Consider the following 11,511-nt stretch of genomic DNA (forward strand, 5'->3'; position numbering starts at 1 on the left):
ATCATGTGATCGCCTGAGGGATGACCAAAACCTTGCTTTTCTCAGAGCCTCTATGATTCCCTCACTAAAATAGATCATTAACAGTGGATAATCGAATCTCAAAAATTGAAGGCACCTCTGGGGTCACCTGGCCCTGTTATGGACCTGAAGCAGAAGCCCCAATTCAGCTTCAGAGACAAATGGGCTCTGCATCAAGACCAACAGGGGACCAGAAAGCAGGGTGACTCTTTATGGGGGCTGGACTTTGGGATCTGAATGTTCGATTCCCCTGAGCTTCTGCAGGCACCAACTCTGTGCCTTTGGGGAAACCATTTGCCTTCTCTGGGCCTCGGTTTTCTCAACCATAAAAATCTTTCATTCATGCAAAAAATATTTATTGAATATTTTCCATGTGTCTGAAACTACATCAAAACCTGGGGATACAGCAGGAAACAAAACAACATCCCTGCTTTCATGGAACTGCGCACCTAAAAGGAAGAAGCTGAGGCAAAATTAATACACATGGAAAGTTTATCTGAGCCAAGCTTGAGGATTGCAACCCGGGAGCATAGATGCAAGTTGCCCTGAATATACACTCCAATTAGCAGCAGTTACAAGTGGATTTTTAATGGCAAAAAAAGCTGACAGGGAGTGGACTGCTACAAAGTTTTTTGTCAGGAATTCTTAATGGTTTACAGAAATAACATTGGTTAGTGATTGGCTGTAAATTGTTAAACTATACGACGTGGGTTATAGTGTTGTGTATGGCATTATTAGGTTAATTTATAGCTACTTGTGGCAAAAGTAAGCAGTCTCAAGAGATGAATACATAGCTCAAAGGGAAGAGTGAGGCATGATTGTGATCTCTTTTAATGTCTCTCTAGGTCTGGTAATTAAAAGGACTTGCATTCCTCAAATGAAAGTTCTTTTCTTTTCTCAGAACTTACACTGTAATGATGGGAGATAGACAATGAACAAACAAATGAATGTCAGAGAGAAGTCAGGAGAGACACAGGGCTGGGTAGAGTGGGACACTGGGAAGAGAGATGTGCTATTTTATGTTGGATGGTCAAAGAGAGTGTCCAGGATAAAAGGACAGGTAGGCTGGGTTTATATCTAGGGAAAGAATATACTAGTCTGAGGGAAGAGCACCTGCAGAGACCTTAGGCAGAAATGAGTTAGAGAGTCAATGGCCAGCAAGGAATGTGGCTAGGGGAGCAGTACGAGCAGAGGGTGGCGAGAAATCCGGAGAGGGTGAGATGGAACAGATCCTGTGAGAACTGCAGGCCATTGAAAGGGCTTTGGAAATTACTGTGAGATGAGAGGTGGTAGTAAATCACGCCATATGAACTGTTTTTATGGGTCAAAAATGGGTGAACAGCAGCAATTTTATATGGTTCAACCTAATACATGTAAACGTACAGTACTGTTGATTTATTATTACCCCCTTTAAAAAACAAGCCTTTCTATTATGTTGGCAGGATTAATTGAAAGGCATTTCTTCCTCCTATTGAGGCTGAGCGGGCCTCTTTATTATTTTTACCCAGTGGCTGTAGCTCTGCCTTCAGGACAGTGCTGTCTGGGTAGTCTCCCACCCCCCTCTCCCTCTCCATGCAGTTCTTTTGATATTGAAATGTAGTTGTCCTGATGTCATGTCTCTTCTAAGAAGTTTCTTTTCTCAGTTAAATATTTCCGATTCTTCAAACCCTTTCTCTTAGGATATGGTTTTTGGATTCTTCCCGTTGTGCTCACCCTTTCTTCGGGGTGAGCTCTGAACACACATTAAGAAATTCAGCGTCTCCCACTTCAACCTACCAGTCTGAGGGAGAGTTCCCCATCTCAGCCCATTAAGATCCTCTATGTTCCTTCACCTCCTAATCTTCCGTAAATATAGACACTGAATTCTGGCTTTTCCCCAGGAGGGAGTTGTGGCCCCTCTACCTCCCAAAGGTCCTGATACATCCCTCCACTGAAGTAGGAGATGGTGCCAGATTCTCAGGCAGAAATCCCAGGGAGATGAAATAAGAGGGGTTCCCAGGCCCAGCAGCTCAGCTATGGCCATGCCAGGCACTACAACCTAGATTCTCCTGGGGTATCCCAAGACTTAATGTGCTCTATGTATTGGGTCTACTTGTAATTTTTTAACAACACGGTCAGCATCACAATGACCCAGATCCTTTCTGCTCTCAGAATCCAGATCTGTTTTCTCTTTGGTTTTTAAATCAAAACATGAGTTCTAGTCTAAACTCCACTTATTAGCCATTTGACTTTGGACAAGTTACTGGAAATTTCTGGGTCTTAGCTTTCTTATCCATAAAATGAGAATAATGATACTACCACACTAGCAGAAGGAGGCGCTAGCAGAGACGGGTATTGAGCATGTAACCCAAATCCTACCACTGCACAAGGCCTCCATTGCTTTCCCCAAGTCCAAGGGTCCATCAGCTCTCCCTCGACTCCTACAGTGGCTAAGTGGTCTCTGCTTCCAGTCTTTGTGCCCCAGGGGTCTCTTCTCCACAGCAGGGCATTGGTAGCAATCCCCTACCTATTGTTAGTTTCATTATCGATACTAAAATTCATTAGGTTTTGTCTTAGTCTGTTTGAGCTGCTATAACAAAATACCAGAAGCTAGGTGTCTTATAAACAGTAGAAATTACTTCTCACAGTTCTGGAAGCTGCAAAGTCCAAGACACTGATGGCAGCATCAGTGTTTTCACATGGTGGAAGAGACATGGCAGCTCTATAGGGCCACTTTTTTTGTTGTTGTTTGAGATGGAGTCTCGCTCTGTCACCAGGCTGGAGTGCAGTGGCACGATCTCAGCTCACTGCAGCCTCTGCCTCCCGGGTTCAAGCGATTCTCCTGCCTCAGCCTCCCGAGTAGCTGGGATTACAGGTGTGCACCACCATTCCCAGCTAATTTTTGTATTTTTAGTAGAGACGGGGTTTCACCATGTTGGCCAGGATGGTCTCAGTCTCTTGACCTTGTGATCCACCCACCTTGGCCTCCCAAAGTGCCGGGATTACAGGCGTGAGCCACCGCGTATAGGGCCTCTTTTATAAGAGCACTAATCCTATTCACGAGGGCTCCGACCTCATGACCTATTCATCTCCCAAAAGGCCTCTCCAAATACCATCACCTTGGAGTTAGGATTTCAACATAGAAACTTTGGGCAGACACAAGCATTCAAACCATAGAAGGCTTTAACAACAATAAAATACAACCTTTTTGTATGACAACAACAGAGTAATCCTTTTAAAATGTAAATCACATCACATCACTCCTCTGCTTCAGACCTTATGGTTTCCTATCCCACTTAGAATAAAATCCATACTTCTTTCATTTCCTGTAAGCCCTACCTTAGCTGGCCCCTGCCCACCTTCTCTCCATTCTTACTTTGTCACCTGCCATTCCAGCTTCACTGACCTTGCTGTCTGTGACATTCTATCATGGGATAAAATGCCAAACCCTCTTATGGAGATGCTCAGGTTGGGGGCTTGCAATAGGGAAAGAGTTAATATTTAATAAGTGAGCCAGGCATTTTCATATATGTGATTACATGCAATTTTCAGTATAATGGGCCTCTGAAGTTAGACCTTACAGGGAATTCCCCTATCCTCCATCCCCAGTACCCAGTGAGCCAGCTAGAAGAAAAGCTCAGCAAATAAACCTGAGAGGCTTCCAGCCTCAGGGCCCCTGAAGCTCCAACTTTCTCCTCCTCATAACCTAAAGGGCTATTAACAGTCTCTTCACTTATTAACACAATTTTTTTTGTAGACTGTCCCTTAGGTCTTGGCTACATGCCAAAAAAAAAAGCTTGAAATCCCAGATCCTCCTTTTAAAAGGACAGCCCCTCATCAGGGTACGAAAAGAAAAACAGACCTCATTGTTCAAGAATCAGTCTCTTTCTGATGGGAGGACACAGACCCTCACCTTTGGGCACGGGTTCCTCTTGCATTTAAAATCTTCAGAGGGGTAAAAGATCTTAAAGGCAAGTGTAGACCCACTGGGATTTTGGTAGACTGAAGAGAAAAAACAAACTAGTATTCAAGTTTAGGCCAATGGGCTGGTTACGCATGTCTAATTCAGGCGTGTGGGGTCCATCAATAACACTGAAGCACTCTCAGGGCAGGGAAACACCTGCATGTCTTTTTATCTGTAACAAATTGGGGGTCTGAAATTTAAAGGACTAGAATTACATTTTTAAAAGGGAATTGGATCAGTGATTTCTAATTTCTCTCTAAACACTAACATGTAGGATTCCATGATTCTGGTCTCTTTCAGGGATGTCAAAGTGGTGGCAACTAAGCCACTTGAATTTTCAGAAAAGTTCAATTCCAAATGTCCTGCACCAATTTTCCATTCAGAACTCAGTTTCTGTATCTACAGTGTTGATGGCAAATCAGTGGCAAGAGCAAGGATCTAGATCTTTTGGCACTAAGGCTTTCCCTCCACAGCTTGATTTCTTCATAACACGGATTAGTCTGTTCTCATACTGCTATAAAGAAATACCTGTGCCTGGGTAATTTATAAAGAAAAGAGATTTAATTGGCTCATGGTTCTACAGGCTAGCTTCTGCTCTGCTTCTGGGGAGGCCTCAGGAAACTTACAATCATAGCAGAAGGTGAAGGGGAAGCAGGTATGTCTTACATGGCTGGAGCAGGAGGAAGCAAGAGAGGGGAAAGTGCCACACACTTTTAAACAACCAGATCTCGTGAGAACTCACTGTCATAAGAACAGCCCCCAGGGGGAAATCCACCCACATGATCCAATCACCTCCCACCAGGTCACACCTCCAACACTGGGGATTACAATTCAACCTCAGATTTGGGCGGCGACACAGATCCAAACTTTATCATTTGGTACTGACTTTGTGCAATATCTCTTGACTGTTTTTGAGCCTCCATAACTGTCTTTTAAAAAGACAACTAGGCTCATTCTTTTTTCTTTCTTTTTTTTTTTGAGACATGGTCTTGCTCTGTCACCCAGGCTGGAGTGCTGTGGCACTATCATGGCTCTCTCACTGCAGCCTCGGCTCCCTGGGCCCAGGTGATCCTCCCACTTTAGCCCCCTGAGTACATGGGACTACAGGTATGTGCCACCATGCCCGGCTTGGCTCATTCTTTAGACTCAAATCAGGCATTATCTCCTATCTCCTCACAGAAGGTCTGTGCCCCACCATGCCAAATTAAGTGTCCCTCCTTTGTCGTCTCATAGTGCCACTCCCTATGGCCTCATGTGCCTCTGTTATTGTTTTTATACCCAGCACAGCTTACTAAGTTATTCACAATTTAAAGAGGAGTTGTAGTGCCAGCTGTCATCTACATCATGAAGTCATGCCCGTTTTTTTAAAAAAAATCTTGGCTGGGTGCAGTGGCTCACAGCTGTAATCCCAACACTTTGGGAGCCTGAGGTGGGCAGATCACTTGAGGTCAGGTGTTTAAGACCAGCCTGTACAACATGGTGAAACCCTGTCTCTACTAAAATACAAGAATCAGCCCAGCATAGTGGCATGCCTGTAATCCCAGCTACTGGGGAGGCTGTGGCAGGAGAATTGCTTGAAACTGGGAGGCAAAGTTTGCACTGAGCTGAAATAGTGCCACTGTACTCCAGCCTGGGCGACAGAGTGAGACTTCGCCTCAAAAAAAAAAAAAAAATTCCTGTTTAAAAGAAAGAAGAAAATGCCCTACAGCTAAGGCCCAATTTCTCTCCTTCCCTCCACATCTAAGCTTTTGGAAAGCCATTGTCTTTACTTGCTCATTTCATTTTCTCCCTTCTCAACACAGTACAATCTGCCTTCTGCTCATCTCAACCTTCCCAAAAAGATATTGTTCCAGTGGTCAAATTCAATGGTCACTTTTCAGTTATGTTCTTCTGTTATGGAATTTTTTAAACTTTTTTTTTTTTTTTTTTGAGACGGACTCTGGCTCTGTCACCCAGGCTGGAGTGCAGTGGCGTGATCTTGGCTCACTGCAACCTCCGCCTCCCAGGTTCAAGCAATTCTCCTGCCTCAGCCTCCTGAGTAGCTGGGATTGCAGGTGCATGCCACCACACCCAGCTAATTTTTGTATTTTTAGTAGAAACGGGGTCCCACCATGTTGGCCAGGATGGTCTGGAACTCCTGACCTCGTGATCTGCCTGCCTTGGCCTCCCAAAGTGCTGGGATTACAGGCGTGAGCCACCGTGCACAGCTAAACAAATTTTAAATCACAACTTTCATACAGATATAAAATGAACACGTCAAAAACTGCATTTGATCCATTAATTAATGAGGGTTCCAGTAACATATTCCAGCTGATTTCAAAGGAAAATTCAAAGTATCACGCTTATATAGGTCAACCAGGAATTTTGAAATGAATTTACAAATAGTCATAAAACTGGTTTATCCACAGGGCACTAATCAATTGCATTCCAGTAGACACAACTAATTAGCATTTATTTGGGCAAAAATAATCTGCATTATTATCAGTTTCTCCAACTTAAAGAGTTGTAAAATAGCTCATAGACAATGTAAGGCAGAGATAACCCTGATGGGTAAATTAGACCGGACACTCAATAATCTTTTTTGGTCCATTTTAAAGTCTTTCCTGACAATTTTTCCTGAGACTTCCTTGACCTATCTTCAGCATTTCACACTAATTACCATTCCTTCAAACTCCTCTTTTGCTCTGTGGTATCACCTCAGATTCTCCCCTCACCTCTCTATCCATCCTTAGCAGAAGTGGACTCCTCTTTTTCTGTCTGTCTCTCTCTTTTTTGTTTTTTTTGAGATGGATTTTCACTCCTGTTTCCCAGGCTGGAGTGCAATGGCACGGTCTTGGCTCACTGCAACCTCTGCCTCCCAGGTTCAAGAAATTCTCGTGCCTCAGCCTCCTGAGTAGCTGGGATTATAGGCATGTGCCACCATGCCTGGCTAATTTTTGTATTTTTAGTAGAGATGGGGCTTCACCATGTTGGTCACACTGGTCTTGAACTCCTGACTTCAGGTGATCCAACTGCCTTGGCCTCCCAAAGAGCTGAGATTACAGGTGTGAAACACCGCACTCAGCCAGTCTATCTCTTAAATATAAATATTTTCCAGTGTTTTCTCCTGGGCTCTCTCTCCTTGTACTCACACTTTTGAGGGTAATCTCATCTATTTTTTTGTCTTCAAACCACCGAAATCATGCTGATAACTCTTAAACTTCTATCTCCAGCACAGCTTCCTTCTGAGCTCAGAACCACATTTAATTTTTTTATATCCCTGCAGTACCTCAAAACAACATGCCTTACCTACAAAACACACTTTTTCTTCCCTGGGGTGGTATGACCTTTTACCCAGGTCCTTTGTTTTCTGTTTTTTGTTTTTTTTTTTTAAGAGACAGGGTCTTGTTCTGTCACCAAAGCTGGAGTGCAGTGGCCATTACAGCTCATGGCAGCCTCAAGTGAGCTCATGGCAGTCTCAAGTGATCCTCTAACCTCAGCCTCCTGAGTAGCTGGGAATGCAGGCCTGAGCCACCATGCTCGGCTAATTTTTGTTTTTTAGAGACAGGGTCTTGCTATGTTGCCCAGGTTGGTGTTAAACTCTTGGTCTCAAATGATTCTCCTACTTCAGCTTCCCAAAGTGTTGGGATTACAGGTGTGAGCCACCATGACCACATATCCTTAATCTAAACTCTTCGCAGCAGGCTTATTTCTTTCCCCTTCCTCACCCCTCATGTCCAATCAGTCACCTTCTGGTACCTGCCAATTCTGTCTTCTCGCTCACACTTCAGCCTGGCTGCTTCTCTCCATTTCTATTATGGCTGCCTTGGTTCAGGCTTTCTTCACTTCTCGTCTGGATTAATACCAGAACCTCCTATCTGATCTTTCTGTCTCCAGCCTGACCCCATGTAATCCGTACTTGACTCTGCTGCTTCTGAAATAATCCTAAAACGCAAATCTGATATGATACTCTCATCTCTGAAATCATTCCATGGCTCTCTGTCAAGGTCGGGATAAAATTAAGCCCACTAACAAGTTGGTTGAAGGCCTCCTTAAACTGACCTCAGTACCCCTTTCTGTGGCCTCACCTCTTGTTGAATCCCTTCATAGGGTTTTAGGAAGCCACCTGAGTCTACTTATAGTTCTCCATGATAGGGCCCATGCCATTTCTTGCCTTTCTCAGCTCCTTGGAATGGATCCTCGAAACACTTTTATCCACCCCCATTTATCTCTTCCTGACTCATGATCATCCTACAAAACTATATTGGGCTTCACCTCCTCCCAGATTTCCTTCTCTCCTGCTCCTGTCCGGATTGTCGGCTTGGCCTAGGTGCTACCGCCATCCTTGCACCCAAGTCACACACAAGTTTGTGGTTGTTGGCTTATCTCAGGAACAGCTGTGGTCCCTTGCTTTTCTCTTTCTATGCACTCAGCATACTGGGTTGTCACTGTCTACTTGCCTGGCTTCCTTATGAGAGTAGGAGCTCCTTGAAGGCAGGCACTGGGCTCAATATATACCCCTCTCTGCCCTCTTCAATGTTCTCCTTCTACACAGTTCCTGAGAATGTCTAAATCTCCTGAGGAGGCTTCACCCAAAGACCCTCAACCGTATATAGTATCTTAGGGGAGACCAGGAATTGCAAGAAGGGTATAATCGTAGGTGGAGGAGACAAACCTGCGATGTGTTGGTGATTCGAGAGGCTAGGTTCTTCTTTTAAAACTCATTCATTCATGCATTCGGTACTGGACACCGTGCTAAGTCTCTGGGGTATGGACAGAAGTAAATTATGGTTTCTGTCCTTTAGGAATGTGTAGTCCAATAGCAGAGACGTACCTGTATGCAAATAACTATAAACGTGATGTCATCGCTAAATACTAGGAGTCTGAACAAAGTGCTATCTTAGCAGGAAGAGGAAGCGATTACTTCTGATGGTCGAATTCAAAGTGAGGAGACTGTAACTTCCGAGAAGGATGAGAAGGGCAGCCGGCTTTTTCTCATGAAGAAAGGCATCCCGGGCAAAGGCACCGAGCTCTTGGTGTGGTTCTCCTGGGATAAGCCCACAGTCACAAACTTGTGCAGGAATGGGGGTACCGGGAAGCAGCCCGGTGTTCCAAGCCTTTTGAGATTCTCCGGACCTGCGCGCCGCCCGCTCGGCAGGGGGCTCGGCAGGCGCGGGCGGCGGGTGGGGGCGGGAGGCTCTGCCCGCTCGGTGGCTGCCGCGGCCTCCTCCGCGCTGCTCTCCACGCCTGGCTTATTATGCACGAGGCAGGCAATTTGCCTTCCTCCCCGGGGACCCATCTCGGAGACAAGAAGGTAGTTTGTTCTCTGTAATGGCTTCTGCTGGAGTGCGGCGGGGCCCAGGCGCGAGCGGGGGCACGGGCGGGGAGTTGGCAGCGAAGGATGCGCCCGGCGCCCCCCGGCGGCCGCCCGGAGCCCGAGGTCGGCGCGGGAGGAGCGCTGACTCCGCGGGCCGAGCCCTCCCCTGCCCTCCTCTGCTCCTCCGTAACTCCTGAGCTGTGGCCTGCCTTTCTGCTGCCTCCACGTCCCTACTCTTCCTTTCTGCCACCCCGTTTGCTTCTTAAAGGTTGTCCTTTGTTTCTGCCATTTCCCCTGTCTTTCAGCTTCATATTCGTTGGGTGCCCCCATCCATTTCTCCACATCACTCTCTTCTTAGTGCTGGGGACCTGGGGGTGAGGAAGGAGGCAGGAGGGATACAGGGATGACTAAAATAGGCATCTCTTCCTTCACGGAACTCAGCCTGGCGGAAACTTAGCTGGCTCCCTGCCTGTCCTAGGCCATCTCTCCTTTTCCTTCTTGTCTCTTCATCGTCTGTTTCTCAGTCGACCCTGGCCTCTGTCCCTATGCCCACAGAAAGACACCCCCATCACCCCTCCCATCGTTTCCGGGTGATGAAGATTGTCTGAGACAGATTCCTAGAATGAACAACCTTGTCTCCTGAGGTCTCGCCCGTTGCCTCCTCATTCACCAGAAATGTTTCCTTCCCTGAAGCAGAGAGAGAGAGAGAGAGACAGAGAGAGACAGAGATCCAAAGACAGCCAAGCCGGGCCAACATCTTCTGGGGAGTTCTTTGGAGTGTGGGGTGACTGATGCATCCAGTTGGCCGGTTGACTATCTTCCCAACTGTAAGATTCCCAGAATGGCTCAGAAAGAAGCTGAGGAGTGCACACAAACATTTAAAAAATTGGCCAGTCGTGGTAGCTCACGCTTGTAATTCCAGCACTTTGGGAGGCCGAGGCAGGCAGATCATGAGGTCAGGAGTTCGAGACCAGCTTGGCCAACACAGTGAAACCCCATCTCTACTAAAAATACAAAAATTAGCCAGGCATGGTGGCAGGCACCTGTAGTTCCAGCTACTTGGGAGGATGAGGCAGGAGAATCGCTTGAACCTGGGAAGCAGAGGTTGTAGTGAGCCGAAATCATGCCATTGCACTCCAGCATGGGCAACAGAGCAAGACTCCGTCTCAAAAAAAAAAAAAAAAAAGTAAAAAATTTAAAAAATTTAAAAAGGGGGCCAAGGGCCGGGCACAGTGGCTCACTCCTGTCATCCCAACACATTTGGGAGGCCGAGGCTGGCAGATAATCTGAGGTGAGGAGTTCGAGACCAGCCTAGCCAACATGGAGAAACCCCATCTCTACTAAAAGTACAAACATTAGCCGGGCGTGGTGGCAGGCACCTGTAATCCCAGCTACTCTGGAGGCTGAAGTAGGAGAATCACTTGAACTCGAGAGGTGGAGGTTGCAGTGAGTTGAGACTGCACTCTAGCCTGAGTGACAGAGCGAGACTCTATCTCAAAAAATGAACAAATAAATGAAAATTAAAAAGAACTGAGGATACCTGGCCTGTCTCCCAGGGGTCCTGTGTAGAATTATTCCCAGCTCTCACCCCCACCCATACCCTCACCATAACACCAGGCCATGGATGATGTGTCCGTGCAGATGTCTGTATAGAGGTGTATGAGCACTGAACGGAGTGAGTGGTGGCATGCCATTTACATACAGATGACTGAGCTGTGGGCCCTTGGTTACTTACCTCATCTCTCGAGTCTCAGTTCTCTTTTCTGTAAAATAAGGAGGTTGTATTCCATGGACTCAGAAGTCTACAACTGTGTTAATCTATGACTATGTTAGGGGTAGAGACCAAGGAGAATATCCCAACAAGAGAGTGTCCTCTGTGTCTTTGTGGACTTAGGAAGGTTCTCTATAGAAGAGAGTGGCTGAGTAGGCCGGGGGTAGGAAAGGAAAAGGAGCAGGTAAGGCTTGGGGTAGGTGTGTATCTAACAGATCTGGGCAAGAGGGGTTGGGCTGGAATGTCAGGGGAGCCACAAGAAGAATATGGAGACTGGGCTGGGCGTTGATGTCCAGAGCTTCAGGACACCCCAGAGGTGACATGCTCAATGCGGAAGAAGTCGAAAGGCTCTCAGGGAGCAAGGAGCTGGGAGGGAGTGTCAGGCAGAATCAGAAGGACCTGTGCTGGTTGGAAGAAAGACATCTGAGGAGCAGTGACCAGGCCAAGACTTGACCAGGGACCACTAGACCAGGAGCCTCCGGG

General features: G+C 46.5%; 1 annotated feature.

Annotated features, from left to right (window-relative positions):
- Positions 10,870 to 10,919: an enhancer, noted in NCBI's record as "active region_1896". NCBI's record gives its function as "activates an Ori minimal core promoter by ATAC-STARR-seq in GM12878 lymphoblastoid cells {active_cell/tissue: GM12878}" and the evidence as "EXISTENCE:reporter gene assay evidence [ECO:0000049][PMID:35858748]".

The sequence above is a fragment of the Homo sapiens genome, chromosome 1 (assembly GCF_000001405.40).
Source record: "Homo sapiens chromosome 1, GRCh38.p14 Primary Assembly".
Classification (NCBI taxonomy): Eukaryota; Metazoa; Chordata; class Mammalia; order Primates; family Hominidae; genus Homo; species Homo sapiens.